General features: G+C 38.6%; 1 protein-coding gene across 1 annotated transcript in view; it reads left to right on the forward strand.

Annotated features, from left to right (window-relative positions):
• Positions 1-25,772, forward strand: part of CPE (carboxypeptidase E) — a 119,540-nt gene that overhangs the window by 61,183 nt on the left and 32,585 nt on the right. Inside the window, exon 2 of the mRNA NM_001873.4 lies at positions 24,200-24,396. Coding sequence (NP_001864.1) covers positions 24,200-24,396 — 197 coding nt within the window. The remainder of the gene's footprint in view (positions 1-24,199; positions 24,397-25,772) is intronic.

Here is a 25,772-nt window from a genome sequence, read left to right on the forward strand (position 1 = left end):
TAACCAGAAAAACTCCTAATGTTCTTCTGCCAGGGATATATCAGTGGGAGGCAGGAAGAATGGTGGTTTTAAAGTTCATCTTCATTATTATAGAAAATAACTTTGGCTCTTTACTTATCTAGAAGTTAGATCAGTTTGAACTGAGCCCCTTGTAATATAGATGTTGGCAATATGGAAGTGTACCAAAGTATTCATTTGCAGAGAAATTAATCAAAGATAAGTTTCAGAATCCCCTTAGCTGCTGCTGCTGCTCTCACAACCCCACCCCCCCCCACACACACAAGCTGTGGTTTCTGGAACAGTGGTCTGGTGTGCAGGATTTGGAAAAATGCCACTGATTTCATGATTCATATGCACACCATGGAAATAAACAAGAGCAAACTTCTATAATAATTTAGGTACTTTAAGTCTTATCCACTTTGTGGGATTTTTTCCTCGTACCTTCCCAACTGAGTTCCTGTAGCCCTATATAAACATTAGCATCATTGCTGGGAGAATTCCAAGGAGTGAGTCAGAAAATACCACCTCTGCCCCTATGTCACCGATTTGGAAATATTTGCCTTGAGGGGTTGTCCTCAGTGACTTCTGAGTCCTTGATAGACACTAACTAATTAGCACTTGAAAACTGCCTCCGAGACCTGGAACTTGTTGGTTGCCAGAGAGGCTGGTGTGCTCCTTCTTTCATGTGCAGCATTAGCAAATGCCGGTGTGGTATGAATCTTAAAAATTCAGCTCTGACAATCTAATCTCAATAATGAAAGTATAAAAACGCTATTGCATCAATGGAAATGCAGATGTCACTGGGTGGCAAATGCATCAGTACAAAGGCACATCCAAAGGGAGGCAAAGTCGGAGACGTGCAGGTGCTGAGTTAGATCTTGACTGCACACCTGGACCTTTACAGCAGTATTCCCAGGGGGTGACCACATGTTTGGGTTTGCTCAGGATGGCCCCATTTATGACTGTTTCCCTGGCAGAATTAATCGTCGAGACCCCGTTCACTCTCAAGAATCTTGATTTGATTGTTAATCTGATGAACAGTGAAAGTGTTTTCAATGGCTCAAATAGCATAAAGAAACCCAGAGTATCTGGAGAATGAAGCAATTTGAGGAAGTGGCTCCTATAGATCCTGAACTCCTTAACAGGCCAGATTAATAGCACTTGGTGGACCTTGGCTTTCCTGTGACATAGTACGTCCCAGTGACTCCATTTGCTACAGAGTGGAGCCATCATTTGAATTTCCATCACGGCCTGTCTCTGGAGCAGACCACTGTGGTACTGGGGTTTTGGGGGCTCTCTCAAGCCAGCTTCATAGACTCGCTAACCTTATTTTACAAGTAGCATTCTAGAACCAGTCATTATAACTTTCAGGGTGGGCATTTTCCACGAGATCCTGGTTCCAATTACGCCTAATTATTTGTTATGTCCTATTTGGGTTTTCTTTTTACAGATCTTTAAGAAATTTTCCTTTGGCTCTGAGTTGAGTCAAAATGTTGAGTTCAACTTTCATCCTAAGCAAGATAGAGGGCATGAATTATGGTTGAGGACTTATGCATATTTTGACCAAATGAAAATGACCACTGTTGCTCCAGCCCAATTGCTGCTACTCTAGATTGTGAATGCAGATATAGTCAAAATGACTTTGGTAAATGCTTCTAATCATGACTGATTATCTTTTTGGCTGGTAGAGGAAGTAGGAATGCATTCATATTTTGTATGAAAGGTAGCGTTCTTTTTGTAAATTCTTGCTATTTAAATAACTTTTTGGGTTTGTCAAAACCTTTTCAAATTTTTCCAGTTAAAGTTTCTTCCTACAGCAAGACGGTGAGTTTGTTTTTTTTTTTTGTTTTTTTTTTGTTTTTTTTTTTTTGAGACAGGGTCTAGCTCTGTCACCCAGGCTGGAGTGCAGGAGTGTGATCATGGCTGACTGCAGCCTTGAACTTCTGGGCTCAAGCAATCCTCCCACCTTGGCCTCCTGAGTAGCTGGGACTACAGGTGGATGCTACCATGCCCAGCTAATTTTGTAATTCTTTTGTACAGACAGAGTCTTGCGATGTTGCCCAGGCTAGTCTTGAACTCCTCGGTTCAAGTGATCCTCCTGCCTCAGCCTCTCAAAGTGTTGGGATTACAGGCATGAACCACTGTACCCAGCCTAGCAAAACATTGAGTTTTTATACCAAAAATATACAGCAGCTCGTGCTAGTGTATCCACAGTACTACTTCCATATTTCCTTCTGATATTCCTCAAACTTATCTTCTTGAGATGGGAATAAACTCAACATACAGGAAGTTCATACAAAAGTGCTAAATTCAGTTTCCAGATTATAACAAGGCCCCATAAACATCAAAACATCAGAGGTTGATCTGTGCTGTTCAATATGCTACCCACATATAGCTATTTAAATTTAAATTAATTAAAATTAAGAATAAATAAAAATCCAGTTCCTCAGTTGCACTAGCCACATTTCAAGTGCTCAAATGTTATTTCCCGGGACAGTACAGAGAGAGAAAATTGCCACCACTGCAGAAAGTTCTACTGGAGAGTAATGGTGTAGGAACAGGCAGACCTTATATAAAACAATCCTTTTATTTTCTGGTGAAAATGGAATTGAGCCAACCTTTCATGCGTTCCTAGTTCTGATTCTGTGCCATTAAGTCAGAGCACTATGAGAATCCCTATATTACCTTGAGGAAGAACAGTGAAAATTTACAGTGCTGCAGCTGTCCCAGAATTCAGAACCCATGATCTAGGAGACTTTAGATTTCATGAAAGTAAGGTCTAAGCTTACCCTGTTTTTCACTGCAATCCCAGGGTCTGGCACATAGTAGACTTTCAATAAACACTTGTGTAATGAATAGTTGAGGGAACCCAGCAAGGACCCATTAAAAGGGCCTAACTACAAAAACACGGGCATCTCTTGGGGTTTGGATCATTTTTGAGGGTTCCCTGGGAATCATGCGAAGGGGCAGGCAGTAGCCATTGGAGATTTCTCCTTTGTAGAAGCCACAGCACAGCATAGGGCAAATGGCATTTGCTGAGTAGCTTCTCCTTTTTCTTCTCTTTCTTCTCTGTCTCCTCTCCTTCTCATCTCCCTATTCCAACATCCTATCAAATTGCTAATTCTGTGGAGCATTTATTAAATGCCAGCCACTATTCTAAGGTCCTTTAATAGATTATTTCATCTTCCCAGTGATTCTATTGTATTGCTTTGCTAAGGCCACCATAACAAAATACCACAGACTGGGTAGCTTTAACCACAAACATTTATTTTTTCACAGTTCTGGAGACTGGAAGTCTGAGATCAAAGGCAGGCAGGTTTGTTTTCTCCTGAGGCCTCTCTCCTTGGCTTGCAGATGGCCGCCTCCTCACTGTATCCTCACATGGCCCTTTCTGTGTATCTGCATCACTAGTGTCTCTTTCTGTGTCCAATTTTCTCTTCTTATAAGGACACCAGTCAGGTTGGATTAGGTGCATCCCAATAGCCTCATTTTAACTTAACTGCCTATGTAAAGGCCTTATCTTCAAATACAGTCACATGCTGAGGTACTGGGGGATAAGGCTTTGCTATGGTCTGAATGTTTGTGTTCTCCCAAAAGTAATTTGTTGAAAACCTAATTGCCAATGTGATGGCATGAGGGGAAGGGCCTTTGGGAGGTGATTTGTACATGATGGCTGAATCCTTATGAATGGGATTAGTGCCCTTACAATGAGACCCCAGAGAGTTGCCTTTTCCATCACATGAGGACACAGCCAGAAGGTACCATCTACGAACCATAAAGGGGGCCTTTAGCAAACGCCGGCTCTGCCAGTGCCTTGACCTTGGCCATCCTAGCATTCTGAACTGTGAGAAATTCATTTCTCTTATTTATCAGTTACGCAGTTTATGGTGTTTGTTGTAACAGCCTGAATGGACCAAGCCAGGCGTCAACATATGAATTTTGAGGGTGCACGATTTAGCCCGTAACACCTATAAAGTCGGTGTTATTATTAGTCCCACATTATAGTAGAGGAAACTGAGGCATGGAGTAACCTTGCCCAAAGTTTAACAGCTGGTAAATGATGTAACACAGATAGACATCTCACCAGTCTGACTTCAAAGCTTGCATTTTTAACCATTAGAAGGGGTACTGCATTTTCTTAAATTGGCAACACATTTGGGTTTGAAACTAATTAGAAAAAGATATCATTGACCAGGCGCAGTGGCTCACGCCTGTAATCCTAACACTTTGGGAGGCCAAGGCAGGCGAATTGCCTGAGCTCAGGCATTCGAGACCAGCCTGGGCAACATGATGAAACCACATCTCTACTGAAAAAAAAAAATTAAAAAAGAAAAGAAAAAGATATCACCATGAGAGGTAGATCATTGCAGCATTGGAGGTGATCTGCCTCCCCAGGTGGGGAGACTGTGTACAGCTATTGCTGCCCCAGCTTCTGCCGTTCTTCATATGCTTGTCAACTGCACTGTCTCCAAAGTTCCTACCAGCTCAGCCATATTCTTCCTCCCTGCCCTCAATGCGTCTTCCCCAGTTTTATCTGGGAGTGAAACTTGTGGTGGTTAGAGAGATTCATCTTGGGCTGTGGCAATCTTCAGTTGCACAAACCGTGTGAATTACAGGATGGCCGGAGCAACTGAAGGGCCAGATCCCTAGTCATTGCAAGTCGGATAGCTTTCTCTCTAGTTACTTTGTTTTGTAATACTAATAAGAATAAAAATTATTTTAACTTCTTCCATATGTATTATTCCATTCTCTTTCTTCTTATTTTATTTTTTTAAATTTTTTTTGAGATGGAGTCTTGCTCTGTCACCTAAGCTGGAGTGCAGTGGCACGAACTTGGCTTACTGCAACCTCTGCCTCCTGGGTTCAAGCCATTCTCCTGCCTCAGCCTCCCAGGTAGCTAGGATTACAGGCATGCACCACCACACTTGGCTAATTTTTGTATTTTTATAGACACGAGGTTTTGCCCTGTTGGCTGGGCTGGTCTCGAACTCATGACCTCATGTGATCTGCCCGCCTCGAACTCCCAAAGTGCTGGGTGTACATGTGTGAGCTATTCTCTTTCTTCTAAAAATATGTAAATTTATTTTCCCTTTTTTTGTTTTTTTTTTCTTTTAGGCACAGCAGAATTTATTCTACTTTATTGGTATTTTTTTGTTTTATTGGTGTTATTTATCCTTCATACCGCATATTTAATTGTTTTTTAAAATACTAATTTCGCTTTTAGCTTTTAAAATTTCTACTCCTACCTTCTTTTGGCTGGTTTTGGTATTTTCTTTGAATTTGAAAAAATGAAAGAAATGACAAAGAAAGTTAACAGCTTTTAAAAATAATGGCAATAACAAGTTAGATACAGAAGTAGAAAAATGTTCTTTTCACAATTGTATAGCCAGGAATAGATTTAACAAAAAAGGTGCAACTCCCACATGAAGAAAGATGTACTTATTGACAGGACTTGAATAAATACAAATTAAATTCACAAGAAGATGTAAAATCATGAAAATAACAGTTCTTCCAAAATTAATATTTGACTTAATAAAATTCCAACCAGAATTTTATTTTTTTAAGCAAAAATATTATTTTCGGTTCATTTGAAATAATAAATGTTTTAGAATTCCAGAAAATATGTTAGAAAAGAGACTTATATTGGAGCACTAGTCCTACTGGCTATTAATACATGGTTCTAAGATTCTTTTAGCAAAACAGCTTGATATGAAGTCTGGAAAAAAGCAGCTATTATAATAGAATAAAGTCCAGAAATAGATTAAAGTATAGATGGAAACCTAATTTATGATAAAGGTAGAATTTAAATTCAGAGGGAAAACGATGTTGGTGTAATTGGCTTCTAGGTAGAATAAGATAAAATGAAACCACAAATTCACACCATGTATATATAAAATATACATGTGAGGTGGAATAAATACTGAAATGTCAAAATCAGAATATAAAATAATAGAAGAAAAATTTTGATTATATTTAGTTTTTCTTTAAAAACAGGAAAAATCCATAAGCCATTTAAGAAGAGTTGGATAGTTTTCACTAACAAAATTATAAATTTCTGTGTTGAAAAATGCACAACATAAAGTAAGAAATACAAGTTTAGACTGAGAAAATATTTCCAATACTGCATTATAAACAAAAGTGTAATGTACTTATACAATGAGACTTAATAAAGCATTAAGAAACATAGAAACAACAGGCAAAGCATAAGATTTGGCAAGATACATTGGATGGAATGCAGATGGCCAATAAATGTATGAAAAATGTTTAACTTTTTAAATAAAAGAAATACAAATTAGAGTTTTTGTTTTGCTTTGTTTTGTTTGTTTTGAGACAGGGTCTTGCTCTGTCACCCAGGTTGGAGTGCAGTGGCGTGATCACGACTCCTGAACTCAAGTGATCCACCTGCCTCAGCCTCCCAAAGTGCTGGGATTACAGGCATGAGCCACTGCGCCCGGCCTAGAGTTATTTTCTAATAGTTTGGAAAAAATAATAATTTTTATTGCTGGCCTTAGAATGAGTAAACAAACCCTTTCACACATTACGAAGGGGGGTGTGAATTGCTACAATTGTTTTGGGAAAAGCTATTGAAATATAAAATTCATATTCTCCTCAAATCAACAACACTGCTGTTAGAAATCTTACCTACTGAAATGAAAGCACAAGTATGTATTGATAAACAAATTATGCAAAACTTAACAATGGAGATATGTTTTGAGAAATTAGTTGTTAGATGATTTTGTCATTGAATGAACATCAGACTATATGGTAGAGCCTACTACACATGTAGGTTATGTGGTATAGCCTATTGCTCCTAGGCTACAAACCCGTCTGGCATATTACTGTACTGAACACTGTCATACATTGGTAAGCATTTGTATATCTAAATATAGAAAAGGTACAATAAAAATACAGCATGAAAGATTAAAAATGGTACACCTGTATAGGGCACTTACCATGACTGTAGGACTGAAAGTTGCTCTGGGTGAGTTAGTGAGTGCTGAATGAATGTGACGGCCTAGGACATGACCATTTAAAACTGTAAACCTTATTAACACTGGATACTTTGGTTACACAAAATTTATTAAGAAATATTTTTATGGCCAGGAGTGGTGGCTCACACCTGTAATCCCAGCACTTTGGGAGACCGAGGCGGGCAGATTACCTGAGGTCAGGATTTCAAGACCAGCCTGGCCAACATGGCGAAACCCCGTCTCTACTAAAAATACAAAAATTAGCCAGGCGTGGTGGCGCATGCCTGTAATCCCAGCTACTTGGGAGGCTGAGGCAGGAGAATCACTTGAATCCAGGAGGCAGAGGTTGAGGTGAGCTGAGATCACGCCACTGCACTCCAGCCTGGGCGACAGAGGGAGACTCTGTCTTTAAAAAAAAAAAAAGAAAAGAAAAGAAAAGAAAAGAAATATCTTTATTTTTTCAGTAACAAATTAACCTTAGCTTACAGTAACTTTTTTTACATTATAAATTTAAAATTTTTTGACTCTTTTGTAATCACACAGCTTAAAACACAGAAGCATTCTATAGCTGTACAAAAATCTTTTCTTTCTCTTATATCCTATTCTATAAGCCTTTTTGTATTTTAAAAATTTTTGTATTTTTCTACTTTTTAAATTCTTTTTTTAAAAAAACAAGGACACAAACACACAGATTAACCTAGGCCTACACAGGGTCAGGAACATCAAAACATAGGCCCTAGGCAATGGGAAATCTTCAGATCCATTATAATCTTATGGGATTGCAGTCATATGTGGGGTTAATCATTGACTAGAATGTCATTATATGGCCTATGACTGTACATTGATTTTACTAAATATATGCATGTATATATACATATGTACATATCCACAAGGATGTTTATTGCCTTTTCAGAAGGTTCATCAATAGGAGAGAGGTAAAAATTATTGTGTATTTATAAAAGGAATTGTTACCCACTATTATAAAGAATAAGATCTAAGTGTGTTGACCTATAGAGGGGTAGAGAGAGGAAAGGAGATTATGAACTTTTCAAAAATAAAACTTCAGATAATTTTGTTTGTCACAGGAGAATGCATTACTTTTCATATTAATTATAATAATGGTTACCACTTATTGACCGTTACGATGGACCAAGTGTAGCGGGAATTTAAATATATCATTTATAATTCTCACAAGAACATGCAAGAACAATGTCTTCAGTTACCTATGGGGAACTGAGGCTCAGATTGGCAGTCAAGTGGTGGAGCCAGGATTCAGCCCCTAGCCCATCTGCTGAGAAAGTCTTTGCTCTTTCTTCTGGTTCCTACCATGGCTGCATCATCTTCTGTGTGGGCCCTAACGGGGAGCAGGAAATGCCCCACTTCTCTCTGGGCATGGGAGCCATAAGAAGGAGGTCCCTAACATGTACAACCACTGCTGGTTTTGGTCCTGGGGAGAACTAATAAAGAATAAAGCAAAAAAAAAACCCTTCTTTTATCATTGCGAGCATTGTCACCAGTCCTAACTGACCACTCCACTCTACCACACCCATAGCAATGGGCTGCCTTACTGTGTCATTTTTGATCGTCAGTCCACTATCCAGTGAATTATTGCATATTCATAAGCTAGAATGTGGACAGTCAGGGAAGGCCAGCATGGAAGAGGTAAACACCTGAAACTTGATTATGGAGACAGAGTCAGAGGGTAGTGATGTTCTTTGGTTGTGGTGCTACATCGTGGGTTGCTGAGTTCCAGTACTGCTGTGAATAAGCTCTGTGGTATAGGGGAAGATATTTAAACTCCTGATGCCCTAGGTTTTCTCATCTGTAAAACGCAGATGAAAAGAGTTCCTACTTCTTAGCGTGTGTTTGTGTGCACACAGGCACATGCACCTGTGTGTATTTGAGTGTATATTAAATGAATTAATACACAGCCCTTGGAAAAGTCCCCACCACAGGGTAAGCCCAAAAGTACATGAAGGCCATTATTATGATTATCAAGACCAATCCTCAGATTCTAGGTCTAATAAGATAGTTTACTTTTGGCATGATTAGCCTATGATTACCAATGTCATAATGCTAATGCCTGCATTTATACCATGAGTTTAAAGAAGGATAAGATCAGGTCGAGGTTAATAACCATTTGAATTCTGACATGTTTGTGACACAATAATGTTCACGGGTGACACCAAAAATGTTGAATTATAATTTGCTTTCTTGAATCCCGGTTTATTTTAGGAGGGGCCTAATTTTTTGTGTGACTCCTGTTAATTTTCATGACTGTCCTTGTTGCTCTGTTGTCTGTGTCTTTTCCTGTCTTGGATGTTGGGGAGATGAGCGATATGTAGATAGGAGAGGTGAGTGTGAGGGCAGAAGTGTGGTTGGTTGAGTGTTGAAGAGAGAGTAACAGACCCGTAAAGAAAACCACAGTATTTCCTACCCTTGATGCTGAGATATGCGATGAATATATCTATCTGTTGATAGAGCTGTTTAGGTTTTTGTTTATTTGTTTGGGTTTCGTGCAATTTCATGTAAAATTTTTCTGGTAATTTTTTGTTATTTAATTATCTTCCCAGAAGAGAAATTCTTTTTTTTTTCTGGGTTTGGGGCACATTGCTTTATCTTTTTCTGAGTTGTTAAGCAGTTAGAAAATTATTTTAAATAGATTTTTTTTGATACACTTGATGATTTTTATCAGTAAACTTGAAAACGGCTGTTTATTTTGGTCACAAAGAAATATTTTAATAATGCTTTTGACAAGATATCTCAAACCATCTGAATAGAGAATCTTAAATAGCTTTAAAAGAATCATGAACTTATTAGCAAAAATAATGAAGTTCAGTATAACATTTAAGTTGACATTTTGAGATAGTAGATAAAGTTTACTTGGGACACACATGAAATTAAAGGTGATTCGTTAGTGTTTAGTAACTGTCTTTATTTCTTCATTTTTTTGTTTTATATTTTATTTAGCAAAACATCTTAATATTATTTTTAGTTTGGAGTGTTTGTAGAATATTTAAATAAACATTAAAAAATTCCTAAGGGAAGGGACAGGTGAAATACTAATACAAACAAAAACTGTTACAAAATCAGAAATGTCAAGATTTTGGGGGGCTACTGTGTATCTGTTTATCTACTTGATCTTATATGCGATTTTGTCTTTCATTTCATTACTCTTCTTCATTGGGAAGAAAAAATCCTCTCAAGGTCCTATCTCAGTCCCTGAAGAAATAAATAAAAAAGAGTAGCAGAAGATGGATGAGATTGAGTGGGAGGTAAAATTAGAATGGTTGCAATCAGTAAAAATCTTGAAAGTACTTTAGTGAGAGAACCATAAACAAAATATGATAGTGCATATCCTATAAGATCCATGATTACTCATAATTTATTCACAAGTACATTAAAAATGTAAAACCATGCATAATTATTTAATGTATAATTAAAATTTAAATATTGAATTTGAAACTGGGACAAGCAATACGCTTTCCTGTCATCTGAACAGTTCTGGAGTATCATAGGATTATTTCATGTCTGATAATATTCCATCATCTTCCTGTATCTAACATCAGATTTAATACACACAGCAGGTACTTTTTGATCATACAGTTTAGCATTTATAATGAATCTTGGAGCTGAAGCCATATAGCAGCCTTGAAAATTATGCTGTATGCCTTTGAATGCGTGGGCACTCAAGTAGGTTGGAGTAAGAAAAAGCACTCAAGTTTTTGTTGTTGTTGTTGTCTTTAATTATTTTAAAAGTCAGTCTCATTTGATCTCTCTTTCTTTCCCCCACTCTTGATTTTGGAGGTTCCAAATGGCCTTTCTCCACTCAAAGAGTGGTTCTTAGGCCTGCAGGATAGCATGGTCCACTGACAAGCCGCATGGCATCCCAGGGGAGCTTATTAGAGCTACAGGCTCTCAGGCCCCACTCCAGATCTGCCGAATTGGAATCTGCATTTTAATAGGATCTTCCGTTGCTTCACGTGACATCCAAATTTGAGGAGCCCTGCCATATGGGATAGGTCTGAATCAGGCCGATGTTATTGTCTATATTCCTGGAAGGATTGCTTAATTTTCCAAACTTGTTTGGGTTCTGTAGCTTTTTGAATGATCCCAGGGACGCCTGATATTCCTGTTGGAAGTTTCTAAGTCTCCAACAGGGAAGATCATCTATATTATTATTACCAGTATGAGTAACAACAATGGGTGATATGATTTCCATTTATTAGCTACCCACTAGTGGAGCATGATGCAAAATGTCTCATCTGTGTATTTCACCTGTAATCCTCTCAACAACTCAGCAGAAGAGGTTTTATTATTATTTATTTATTTATTTATTTATTTACTTGAGACAGAGTCTCGCTCCGTTGCCCAGGCTGGAGTGCAGTGGTGCGATCTCTGTTCACTGCAACCTCCACCTCCCAGGTTCAAGTGATTCTCCTGCCTCAGCCTCCTGAGTAGCTGGGATTACAGGCACATGCCACCACGGCTGGCTAATTTTTGAATTTTTAGTACAGACGGGGTTTCACCATGTTGGTCAGGCTGGTCTCAAACTCCTGACCTTGTGATCCACCCGCCTCGGCCTCCCAAAGTGCTGGGATTACAGTCGTGAGCCACTGTGCTCGGCCCAGAAGAGGTTTTAAGAAGACAATTTACAGAAAAGAAAACCGAGGCTAGGGGTTATTGTTCAAGGTTAAATATACAATGTTAGTTCTGAAATCAAACCCAAGTTTGTCTCCCCTAAGCCACGTACCGCCCCCCCAACCCCCGTTTTTTTTTTCGTTTTTTTTAAACAATACTATATTGCTACATGCCACTTTGGTCCTCTTGCAGTAAGGAAGGGCATATAAAAGTGCCCTGTTTGTCTGGGATCAGAAAACAAGCCTGTGTAGGCCCAGAGAGACAAATATGGCTTGTTGTCACATGTGTGCAAGAGCTAAAGTGGATCTCACAGAAGGAGAGGGCAGAATGATAGATACTAGAGGTTGGGAAGGGAAGGTGAGAATGAGGAGAAGTTAGTTAATGGACACAGTTAGCTAGAAGAAATAAGTTCTAATATTCAACACTACCGTCGGTAAATTATATGTAATAATTTATTGTGCATTTCAAAATAGCTAGAAGAGAAGAATTGCAATGTTTCCAGCACAAAGAAAAGATAAATGTTTGAGGTGATGGATATCCTAGTTACCCAAATTCGATCATTGCATATTGTATACATGTATCAAAATATCACATGTATGTATAATTATATATTTATGTACAACTATGATATACCATTAAAAAAAGAAAATAAACCTGTGTATAGGCATATGCTGATATTTATTGTGACTCTTATTTCTGTTTTCTGATTCTGACTTATAAATGTCTAGAATAAGGTTCTTTAAATTTGTAAAATCTTTGTACATTTTTGTGATTTGTTTTTTGGGTTTTTTTTGCAAATGTGGGGGAAGATCATTCATAGTTTTGTTTAAATTGAATTTTCAAAAAAGGCCATAACCCACAAATTGTTAAGAGCCATCCCCTAACTCAGCCTGTACCTTCATGGCCCTCAGCTGTTGAAATTCCCACCAGTCTGCTGGCATCATTGCATCCCTCCCAATTACTAGATTTTCCCAGTGCCTTCTTCCCAGATCATTCCTTCTCAATCCTGCCCTGGCATCAGAATCACCTCTAGACCCTGTACAGAATACAGCTGCTCAGGCCCCTTCTCAAACCTTCTGAAGGATGACCTTGGGAATGGGGCTCAGAAACCTGTATGTTTAAGAAGCTCCACAAATGATTCTGACCCAGAGCGCTATAAGTCAGCACAATTTTCTTTCTTTCTTTTTTTTTTGAGATGGAGTCTCACTCTGTCGCCCAGGCTGGAGTGCAGTGGCGCAATCTCAGCTCACAGGTTCAAGTGATTCTCCCGCCTCAGCCTCCTGAGTAGCTGGGACTATAGGCATGTGCCACCACACCTGGCTAATTTTTTGTATTTTAGTAGAGACGGGGTTTTACCATGTTGGTCAGGCTGGTCTCGAACTCCTGACCTCGTGATCCGCCCACCTCGGCCTCCCAAAGTGCTAGGATGAAGGCATGAGCCACCATGCCTGGCCAATTTTCTTATTTTCTTTCTTTCTCATTTTCTTTCCTTCTTTTTCTTTCTTTTTCCTTCCTTCCTTCCTTCCTTCTTTCCTTCCTTCCTTCCTTCCTTTCTCTCTCTCTCTCTCTTTCTTTCTTTCTCTCTCTCTTTCTTTCTTTCTTTTTCAGGGTCTCACTCTGTCACCCAGGCTGAGTGCAGTAGCATGATCATGGCTCACTGCAGTCTCAACCTCCCAGGCTCAGGTGATCCTCCCACCTCAGGCTCCTGAGTAGCTGGAACCACAGGCTTGCACCACCATGCCCAGCTAATTTTTAAATTTTTTGTAGAGACAGGGTTTTGCCATGTTGCCCAGGTTGGTCTCAAACTCCTAGGCTCAAGTGATCCTCCCGCCTTGGTTTCCCAAAGTGCTGAGATTACAGGCATGAGCCACCACACCCAGCTTCAATTTTCTTTACAAACTTTGAACAAAAGGAGATACTTCATGAACGTCCTCTTGTGGAATGATCTCCTGGAGGGAGACCCAAAGCAGCCCAGTCCTCCCACAAGAGACTCATCATCATCTAGATCTGGCTTTCCTGGTAAGATCCTAACTAAAGAAAGAGAGGTGAGCAAAGGAAAAGAAGGTATTTCCACCTTCACTAGTTTATAAAAAATAATGTCAGAGTTTCAATATTTACAGAAATGCCCTCACTTTTTGAAATGCAAGCATTTGATGCCTTCACAAAAGCTAGAATTTTTTTTTTTACAAATACCCCATACACAGTGGTGTGCTGGTAAATGTTTTACAATCAGCTCTGATTTGTAGCATTGCCTATTTCCATGGTGTAAATACTCCCATCCTGGCCAATTTGAAGCTACCAACTTGGCTCACAAATTTCCTGAAAATTAAAAAAGCCTCTCATATGCCAGTACAAGCCTACTCCATCCCACCACTGCATATGGAGAGTGATTATCTGGGAGAGATGGCTTCTGGATTTCTCCATAGGCTCAGGCATGCAGAATGATTCAGAGAGCTCCATTTGCTTCTTTATTCTCCTTCAGAAGATTCTACTGCGTGGCCTACTCCTTCCGAAACCAGTGCATGTTCGACACCGCAAGTCTTTCATGATGATGTTGAAAAAAAATAACATCCTGAAGATGTTTTGACAAATTAATTTGACTTTTGAATTATTTTCCTTTTGAGAGAATAAAATGTTCCAAAGGTCTCCTGGGAAGAGATTGTTCAAATAAGGTTTTATATTGTTGATTTTGTTTTAGGTAGTTAATGCTACTACCTCTTTATCTGTGGGTTAGTAAATTGACGTTTTTCTCCTTCATTTATCTGTGTCTGCTAGAACTGTTTGACATTCTCCACCCACACAGGTTCTGATGACATTACTTTTACTCATTGTCTATTTACCTGTGAAAGGATGAGCTGTTCATTCATGGGCATAAAGAGCAATGACTGAGGAAATGGACTAGTGTTTTTCCATTAATTTTTATAATCATGTCTTAGTTCACTATGATGACGTACAGTTTTCTCTTTGTTCCAGAGAACTATCAAAATTGTCACTGACATTTATTTACAACCATGATTTGTATAGGACAGTTTTAGAAACTTGAATACCAGTAGTTTGTCAAGCAAGATACAGCGCCTGCTTCTCTAGAATCAGGGGATGTTTAAGAGGTTATCTAGTCCAGCCTCACAGCTTGTCTCTTAGATATCTTTCTGCTTCTGTGGGAATTAATGACTTCTACTGACTGTAGATTTGTCTGGAGTTTTGCAGAACAAACCAAATCCTTCCCCACATAACTATCTTGGAAAACCTGGAGAACTTTCGACCTTTGGAAACTTGATGCTGCCTCCTAAACTTTTCTTCTCAACCTATGAAATGAGCTTCTCATGGAAATTATTTTCCAAAATAGATATACAAAGCACAATAAAATATGTTAATGAGAGAATCAGCTAAATTGATTCACTCGAATCATAGTTGCTGCCACAAGTCAGGTGCATTCCTATTTTCTTTCCATTACCTCTAGTGTCACTTCGTTTACCTCTGTTTTGTGCTTAACTTCTTAGACAAATTTATCTTTCCAATTTATCTTATTTGATAAGAATATTAGTGAAAGACAGCAGAATCTTCTAAGAGAGTTATCTAAGATAACTAGAAGCTAATAATTCTAAAAGATGCTTCAAGGTCCAAAAACCCTCTTCAGTAAATAAATGCACAAAGGCATTTTGATAAGCATTTGATGTAGCCGATAACTATTATAGCACTTTAAAAAATAATTATGGTCTTTTTGGTGATTAATATCTACAGAAAGATTTCAAATCATGAAACTAAATCATTAAAACAATCTCTGCCTTATCTGATTTGTATATTAAAACTTCTCTGTGCTCACTTAACAATGTTCTTAAACAAGTCAAAGGTATTTTTTTTTTTTTTTGAGACAGAGTCTTGCACTGTTGCCCAGGATAGAGTGCAGTGGCATGATGTCGGCTCACTGCAACCTCTGCCTCCTGGGTTCAAGTGATTCTCCTGCCTCAGCCTCTCGAGTAGCTGGAATTACAGGCGCCCGCCACCACATCTAGCTAATTTTTGTATTTTTAGTAGAGACAGGGTTTCACCATGTTGGCCAGGCTGGTGTGGAACTCCTGACCTCAGGTAATCCGCCTGCTTTGGCCTCCCAAAGTGCTGGGATTACAGGCGTGAGCCACCATGCCTGGCCACAAGTCAAAGGTTTTTCTGAATCTGAAGGCTTTCATAGGTAGCTTCTTCTTGAATGGTAATAATAAGGTGTTTTGTGATACTAATTTTAAATTATTGATTTCTGTGAATTTTAAATGATGAATTTATATGAATGGGAATGGAAATTATATTGCCTTTTTATTGTGAAGGTCGTCTTGTAGGATAGGACTATAGAGAGAGCAGAAGGAATTTTGAATATCTGATATTATTGCTGACAAATATTTTAGAAAAACTATATAATAGGTTAAAGTAAATTTTCTTCATTGATTTATTATGGCTAATATTTAGGGCAAAGGGTGATATACTCTCGTGAGTCAGTAACTGCTAGGATAACTTATTCAGTCAAAAAATTTTCCCTAGGCCCGTTTACCGCCACTCCCCCTAAGTTGAATTCATAATGATGCAGTGCTTTGGAAAACAGCTCTGTATTAATACAAGGTAAAAAAGCCCCCACAAAATAAAAGCTTCTTTTAATTATCCTAGCATGAAATGAAACAAAAAGAAAAGTAATAGGGTAGACGCTAATTTCATCTTTCTTTCTTTGTTTCTCTTTGTTTCTCTCTTTCTTTGTTTCTCTCTCTCTTTCTCTCTCTCTCTCTCTCTTTCTTTGTTTCGACGGAGTCTTGCTCTGTCGCCCAGGCTGGAGTGCAGTGGCGCGATCTCGGCTCATTGCAAGCTCCGCCTCCTGGGTTCAAGCGATTCTCCTGCCTCAGCCTCCCGAGTAGGAGTAGCTGGGACTACAGGCGTGCACCACTATGCCCAGCTAATTTTTTTTTTTTTTTTTTTTGAGATGGAGTCTCACTCTGTCGCCCAGGCTGGAGTATAGTGGCACGATCTTGGCTCACTGCAACCTCCACCTCCCAGGTTTAAGCAGTTCTCTGCCTCAGCCTCCTGAGTAGCTGGGATTACAGGCACCCACCACCATGCCCGGCTAATCTTTGTATTTTTAGTAGAGACGGAGTTTCACCAGCTTGACCAGGCTGCTCTTGAACTCCTGACCTCGTGATCCACCCGCCACTGCCTCCCAAAGTGCTGGGATTACAGGTATGAGCCACTGTTCCAGGCTGTAGCCTCATTATATGTCTTATTGTGTTTCAAAATTCTGCAGATTTCTTAGACCTCAGTTTCCCCTTTTGGAGAATCTTTGGAGAAACCAGAAGCCATCTATCCCAAATAATTGCTTTCCACATGCAGTGGTGGGTTGGAGTAGGCTTTTACTGGCATATGAGAGCCTATTTTCATTTTCAGGAAATTTGTGAGCCAAGTGACCACACATTAGTAGCTTCAAATTGGCCAGGGTGGGAGTATTTACACCATGGAAATAGTCAATGCTACAAATTAGAGCTGAGTGTGAAACATTTACCAGCACACCACTGTGTATGGGGTATTTGTAAAAAGTTTGTAGCTTTCTTTTGTGAAGGCATCAAATACTTTCATTTCAGAAAGTTAAGGCATTGCTGCTAATATTGGAACTCTGACATTATTTTATAAACTTGTGAAGCTGGAAATACCTTCTGTTCTTTTGCTCACCTCTCCTTCAATTAGAATCTTAGTAGAGATATTTTAGATGTCATATGTAAGACAACTTTGAAATTATATTAAAAGCAAATGCATAATTAAGATTACAAAATGATTCTGTAATATGTCTCTGCAGAATAATTCTGTAATATATTCCATCTTGACTGCCCATTAAAAATCAGATGAAGTGAGATTTCACTTTTAAGATATCATGTTGATTTGGTTGTTTTCTAAATTTCACTCTGAAGGAAGAAGCAAGAAGAGAGAATATAATGCTGTCATTTCTTTTGCAATCATTTTTTGTTCCTTTGCCTTTTCTTGGTTTCCTTTCTCCACTTTTTTCTTTACTTTTTCCTCATTTCTTCTGTAAGTGAGTAATCTGTTTTTGTAACCATCCTACCCCCTCGTGTTGTTTATTGGACCCCTGGTGACTTGCATTTCCTTTAGGAATATGCCCAGCATTTTTAGGCTGCTAAAATATGAGCCAATTAATGATGTTCTTATTGACGAGGTCTAGGAAACTTGTAGGGTTCAGTTTCTGCAAGAATGATTTACAGTCTATAATAGGTTAGAATGTCAAACAAGGGGAAACAATTAGTAGCACTAATGTTTTAACCCCAGGTTTATCACTGAGGGAGGATCATTGATGAAGAGGCCCATCTGTTCCAAAGATGTTTCCAACTTGCTTGTATAGCAGTTTGTAAATCAAATCAGTGCGGTGATTGTGAGGCTTATATAGCCACTTGTTTGTCAATTTTTAAAAATCACTGCTTTTGTGCACATTTCATCATGATATCTTTGAAAAATGGGGTTTTACCTGTGGAAATTACACTATTGTTTTTCAGCATTATGTTCAGTTTATTACATGTACCAGGAACACGTGTTTTGAAATTGTCACCAGCTCCAAGAATTATGTAATCAGTGAGTTAAATATATAACTTCCAAATGAATTAGTGCACCTATATTTTGGCAAAAATTTGTTGTTGGAGGAAGAATAGATTCATCCCAGAGTAAGTTTCTTGTCTATTTTCAGGATAAAAGATGGGAGAATTCTGTTACTATAATCAAGTTCTTTCTTAAAATACCCTTAACCTACTTTTTTTCCCTCTAAATAATGAATGCTCCACTTCTTACATAGAATTTCACAATTTACAACCCACATTCACATTTGTTATTTCATTTCCTGTTGGATATTTTCCCTCTGCTGTTTTCTTCCTATAGAAAGGCCATTGAATAATTGGCTCTAAGATTTGAAAGGAGTCTTCAGATTATCTGTTCAATTACTGTGCCTAGTGATCAGCCTGTCTCTTATTTCCAAAAGGAGAAGAAAATATTAGATAGGTAGACAGACTGATCATGGGGCCAAATAACAGAGTGAAAGTAAATTTTCTTTTCATAGGAGTGGAAGACAATATTATTTTTTACTTTTGTCTTTTTATTTGATCATTTATGTCATGCTCACCCTACTGACATGTGGACTTCTGTTTCAGTGGCTCTCTGGTCACTTTAAGGCATAAATTCCTTTTACCATTTGGGAACATTGCTAACTTGCCTCCAGCTTCAAATTTCACCCACATGGATGTGAGTTTCTGGGGTGTAAAAGAGTAACATTTTATTTTTGAGGCAAGAGACTTCTTTCTTTAAAGCTGCTTTTTTACTGATTTAGTTATTTCAAATCATATTAATACAAATTGGGGCAAATTAAGAGTTACAAGTCTGGACTTAAAATCATTTGCCTGCTCTGGTTTGGAATTTATGCAGCTATTTCTGCCTTAATTAAAACTGTGGATATTTTTAAAGCTTAGAATTTATTCTTATCTTATTCTGACGAGAATGCAAATCCAACCAGGCACATTAAATGTTCTGTGATACGGATGGAAAAAGATAGAAACTGGGCCCAGCCAGGCTGGATTTGGTTTGTGAGAAGATCGTCTTTTAATAATGGCTTGATTGATGATTGTGTGCCATGTGAAGTAACTGGAATGCTGGATGGTTACATGAAATTGTGGGAAAATTGACACAATGGGGAAAAGATGCTTGCTGAGCCTATGAAGTGCAACCTGTGCAAATATGATGATTCCTCAATTGCAAGATCAGGAACTCAGGATTACTGTGTAAAAAAGAAAATGAAGGCCGGGCGTGGTGGCTCACGTCTGTAATCCCAGCACTTTGGGAGGGCTGGGTGGGGGGGGGCGGGGCAGATCATGAGGTCAGGAGGAGTTCGAGACCAGCTTGGCCAATATGGTGAAACCCTGTCTGTACTAAAAATACAAAAATTAGCTGGGTGTGGTGGCGTGCGCCTGTACTCCCAGCTACTCAGGAGGCTGAGGCAGAAGAATTGCTTGAACCTAGGAGGCGGGACTGCAGTGAGCCGAGATTGTGCCACTGCACTCCAGCCTGGGCAACAGAGTGAGACTCTGTCTCAAAAAAAAAAAAAAAAAAAAAAGGAAAATGAATTAGTGAAGAAAGTAAGATGATGTAAAAACAACCATCCCCAGTGTCCTGAGGGTAGTGCTTCTAGCCGCTTTCCCCGCTCCCCCACCCCGTTGCTAGGAGAGAGATGAGTTAACACACAGGGACGTGTACATTATACCAGCCGGATCCACATACCTGGCAGCTGCAACCTGTTAAACCTGTGTTTTTTTCTTCTGTGTAAACACTATAAACAGGAAGGCAAACGTCATCCATTTACGCAGAAGAGAAAATTGATGATGAAAAACTGTCACTGCTTTGCTTAAAAAAGTCTAAGGTAAAGAACGTATTGACTCAGAGAGGGCCATTCAAAATCTAAAGTCTTCAATTTTATTGCTATTTCTGTATTAAGGATTCTGAAGGCAAAATTTCTTCAGAATCTGTTGTTTAGACTTTACAACAAAAATAGCTTTGGGGAGCTGCTTGCCTGGAGAGGTTTTGTGGTGACTATGGAAATTAATCTTCTTGATGGGAAATCAGCTGTTCACCATACTGCTGCCTTCATTCCCAAAGAAGAGTTTCCATTCCTACCTGGAATGGCTAGAGCCTGTTGGCTAGAGCAATGAGCCATTGAGGCCTCCTGATATTCCACCCGGGTGCAGCCTCCTTGAAGCTGCCTCAAGCCCCCTTCAGTTACTCCTTTATTCCCTTCACTGCTCCAGAAGGGTTTTCAAGCATCTGCAGCTGCACCTCTGTCTCAAGGGCAAGCTCTACTGTCAGCCACGCTGCTGCAAGGATGGGATTGAAAAGCAAGACCATTCATTTACTCTTTCATTCACAAATTTATTGAACTGATATTTAAGCTTAGAATTTATTCTTATCGTATTCTTACAAGAATGCAAATCCCTACTATGTTCCAGACTCTATGTGGGGGCACAGGTGACACACTGGTGAGCTAAAATAGATCCCATCCCAGGACTAATAGACCTTACAGTCTGGGTGACAGAGGAGTTAATCAAATAACTACATTGATGAATGTATATTTTCAAACTGAGGTGTTAAAAATAACAAACCCAGCCTGGGCAACATGACAAAACCTCATCTCTACAAAAAAATTAGTTGGGCATGGTGGTGCACACCCATAGTCCTAGCTACTCAGAAGGCTGATGTGGGAGGATCACCTGAGCCCGGGAGGTCGAGGCTGCAGTGAGCCATGATTGTGCCACTGCACTCTAGCCTGGGTGACAGAGTGAGCCTCTGCCTCAAAAAAAAAAAAAAAAAAAAAGAAAGAAAGAAAAGAAAAGAAAAATAACAAAGGAACTGTGGACTTAGACTAAAGCTACTCCAAGGAAGCTGTATTTAGCCATACTTAGAAGGCTGTGCGGATAAAATATGTGAATATGTGAAGCAGAGAGCATTATAGGGACGAGCCTCGTGGCTGAAAGAAGGATGGCTGAAACACAGGAGGGAAAGGCTGGTGCCTTGAGAGGCACCACGCCAAACCACATGGAGGTTCAAGATCTCGTAGAGAATTTTGGTCTTTATCATGAAAGCAAAGGGGAAGTTACTGATGGGTTCTTTGGTGGAGGTGACCTGAGGAGGGTTGCGTTTTAAAAAGAAAGCTTTGGCCTTGGGAGGGAAAAGAGCTGGAGAGAGGCCAGAGGGGTGGGAGGAATATCCCAGTTTGGAACCTTGAAGCAGTTTAGTTACATATCCAACATTCCTTCACCGTTGCCTCACTCCTGAACATTGTCCATTGCATGTCTGAGTCTTCTTCCAGACTCTACATTCCTTCAGTTTAGGAATGCTGACATATTTGCTTTTGGATCCCATGTAGTGTCTGACCCTGGGATTTGCATGTATGTCCAACAAATGCTGTATTTAAACAATGTGGCTGTTCCGCATCTCACAAGTCATGTTAGTTGGCTTAAAGGAGCATAGCTCTTCTGTATTCTAGTGATAACATTATATAGTGATCTAAGTTATTCCTGAGGACAGAAGGAGTTAGAGATACACTTGCCTTTTCTTTTGCTATCATATGTGCCTTGCATTTTATTTCCGTACATTAGTATCTTCAATATAATGACCTTTGTTGTCCTGTCTTCATGTCAACCTAAAGCATTGTTATTGTCATTAGTGTTACTACCGCCTCACAAATACATAGATATATTGGGGGAGATTTTTCCTGAGAGAAATCTGCAGATTTGAAGAGAAACCATGTCATACATTTTCTGAGTCTGAAAATCAGGAGTTGCAAACATAAATGAGTAAAGCAGCAGTAGGGAATGGCGCAGCCTGTGGCAGAACTAGGGGGAGCATGCTCTATCCCAAAGCATTCACATTCGAACACAAAATATACTGTGCTAGCTAAACCAGACATCTGGGGGCAAGTGTGGCTTAGTGACTATGGGTTTGTTGTTTCTTCTTTAATTGATTAAAAAAAGATTTAAACACAGAGAAGTTATAAAAATTTTCAGTGTAATTAGGGGTTGTGGGCCAAGCTTTATTGAGTGACATGAAGCTTCAAAGTTGTTTTGGGGAAGGGAGCAGGACCAAAATGCCTTCTTAGTGCAACTTTTTCAAAAAAACTTGTGAAGCCAGCTTCTAATATTCCCCTGGCTACTTGCTCTCTCTCTCTAATGGGCTGCAGCAGTTTCTCCTGTGCCTCAATCAAATGAATACATCACATAAATGAGGGTATAAACTGCATGAGTTTACAGAAAGGAAGAAGGTTATTATTACCTTTGAAATCAGAAGCCAAGAAAACATCTCTTCTCACACCTCCTCATCTCTTCTCTTACTTTCTGGGCAAGTCCCTAGGGGTAATTTTATTAGAGACTCTCCCTCAAAGTAAAAACTGAGGGGGGTATAAATAGCCCCGATCCTGCTCCCACCTGATCCTTAGATTAAGATTAGCATAAGCTCAGGCTGAGAGGTCACCACAAGGTCATAGTTTTCTGGGGTGAATAGTCACTTAATTCAGAAACTCAGGAATCTCATGCAAAGAATGCTTAGTTAACATATTTCCAGGAGAAAAATAATTCTAATTTGCTTTCTTATACCAAGAACCAGCAGTCTTAGTGATTTTGTAAATGCAGAAATTGGGCCCGTGGGATGGATGAAGCAGAAACGAGCAGAACAACAGGATTAATTGAGATCACTTTGCTGCTACGTTCTGCAATTTCATTACTACTCCTAAAACGCAATGGAGAGTCTCACAAACAGGCAACAGTGACTTTTGTTAGTATTCTGAGCCCTTCAGCAAAGTATATCCTCTTTGGGCTGATTTATACCATAAGGATAATAAAAATACATGCCTTACACATTTTAGTGGGCTGTTGTGAAGAGAAAATTAGATTATGTATGGCAAGGAACTTCACAATGACAAGATAATGTCATGTAATAATAATATTAAAGAAAATTATAGGAAACATATAGCACTTGCTATTTGTCAGGCACTGTTCTAAGCATTTACATTCATTATTTTATTTAGTTCTTATAATAACCTTCCGTATGGGCTAGAATCTATTGTTATCTCTAATTTTTAGATGGAAAAACAGAGCCACAGAGAACTGAAGTAACTTGCCCAAGCCTAGACAGTAAGAATTGGTGCTAGGATTTGAATCCATGCAGTCTGGCCCCTCTCAATCACTATGATTTAGGAATAAAAACAAAAAAACAAAAACATAGACGTTTAAGTAAACCAGAAGACTAGCATTTGAATCCTGGCTTCCCAGGCCATGTAACTATGGAGACAGTCTTCTTAAGCAGTCTGAATTTCAGTTTGTTTATCTGCAAAATGAAGTTGGATAATAATACTTATTTTTAGATGTTTGGTCAGGATTAAATAAGAAAACATGCAAAGCACAGTGTTTAATAGGAGGCACGTAGTGTGTTATTATTATTAGTTATTGTGGGTGAGATGGTATATTAGTCTTGTCAGACTGCCATAGCAAAATATCCACAGACTGGCTGGCTTAAACAACAGAAATTAATTTTCTCACAGGCCTGGAGGCTAGAAGTTCAAGATCAAGGTGGCAGCAGGGGTGGTTTCTGGTGAGGCCTCTCCTCCTGGCTGCCGCCTTCTCACTGTGCTCTCACATGGTCTTTCCTCTGTGCAGAGGAGAGAAAGAGGGCTCTGGTGTCTCTTCCTCTTTTTATAAAGATGACAGTCCTATTGGATCAGAGCTCCACACTTATAACTTAATTTAACCCTAATTACCTCCTTAATACAGTCACATTGGATGTTAGACCTTCAACATACTAATTTTGGGTGAATACAGTTCAGTCCATAACAGGTGGGTAGCTGGGAGGCGAGGAATAGAAGGATAGAAGGGGTATTTTAATGTCTACGGTAGATTTTTTTTTAAGGCATCGCTGCTGGAGGAAAAAACCCATCAGATATTCATAATACATTTGTAGGTATACAATATATTTGGCTCTGTATGTCATAGAAAACATCTCCATGCTATCTATTAATCTTTTAGGTGAGCCTGAATTTAAATACATTGGGAATATGCATGGGAATGAGGCTGTTGGACGAGAACTGCTCATTTTCTTGGCCCAGTACCTATGCAACGAATACCAGAAGGGGAACGAGACAATTGTCAACCTGATCCACAGTACCCGCATTCACATCATGCCTTCCCTGAACCCAGATGGCTTTGAGAAGGCAGCGTCTCAGGTGAGTGCCAGGCAGCTCAGATCAGGCGTGCTTTCTTCATTTTCTGTATGTTTGTACATACATGTTTATCTAAAAATTATGCCCTCGCACAAAGCTTACAGATGGTGCAGTGGAGGGCATAAGTGATGCATTCATTATTCAACTCACCAGTAAGAAAATAGTTTAGAATGAAAGGGATTATGGGTGAGTTTTTCCAGTGAAGACTGCAAATCAGAAATTGTGTTAAGAAGTTAATGTTCTAATAGTGTTCTGTTTTATGTTTTTCAATAAATTATTCATCCATTTTTGTGACTAGGTAAGTTTTGTTTTAAAAATCTACAAATATAAAAAATATCTACTGCCTTTTGTTGAAGAGTAACGCCATGGGTGTATGTGGATGAGCCAGTGTCACAGCGCCCTCTACTGAATTTAAGGAAGAAATACTTTTGGCCGGAATAATGTTTTACTGATGTTTACTTGGTTTTTACATACGCTGAGTAAAGTTAAAAAACAAGCGAAAACCCTACCTCTTAACTAAAAATAATTTAATATATCTTCGCTGTTAGATGAACTGGAAAGTAATGCCTTTTTAAGAGAAGATATATGGTGTGTGTTCCTATTTTATTGGACGGGGCGGGGGACATTATATTTGCTGTTTTCTACAGTTTAAAATAATTTTCTTAGTCTATGGGAACATGGGAACACATTCAAGTTAATATTTAGCATGTTTATCTACAGCTAAAAAATCCAATGACATAGTTTGACATTGTAAGAAACCCAGCCAATTTCTGTAAATAAATATAAAATTGATACGATTTCTAAAGTTATGAGAGAAAAATTCTAGTAATATATAAAATTAAATTATTTAATATTTTAAGGTAATATTCAGAATTTTTAGACACATGGGCAACAGATTATCATTGCTGTTTTCTGTCTTATAGATTTTTATCCCTCACAGTCTAAGGTATCTAAACTTCCATGACTTAAAATATGTGGGAAATATATCTATATCATGTGATATAATTTAACAGTAAAACAAGAAAATTCACATTATAAAATGAAACAAATATACCGAAAATTTATTAGTTTTCCAGATTGTACCATTAGTTAAATGAAGAGTTTAAACGGGAGAGAAATTCCTCAAATCATAAAGCCCTAGAACTTTTGTTCTAGGTTCATATTTTTTCATGAAGACTATAAGAGGGAGACATGTTATTAGTCTATAACGCATGTTAAATTCATTTTAAGCTTCTAATCTTTAGTTATTCTTCTAAATATTTAAAAAATAGGTTGCTGTGATTTACAGAGGCAATGAATATTTTACTTAAATCTAATTATAGAATGATATGCTTTGAAATAGGTCATTTATAACTAGTGAATATATATTGTGAAATTTG

This window comes from Homo sapiens, chromosome 4, assembly GCF_000001405.40.
Source record: "Homo sapiens chromosome 4, GRCh38.p14 Primary Assembly".
Classification (NCBI taxonomy): Eukaryota; Metazoa; Chordata; class Mammalia; order Primates; family Hominidae; genus Homo; species Homo sapiens.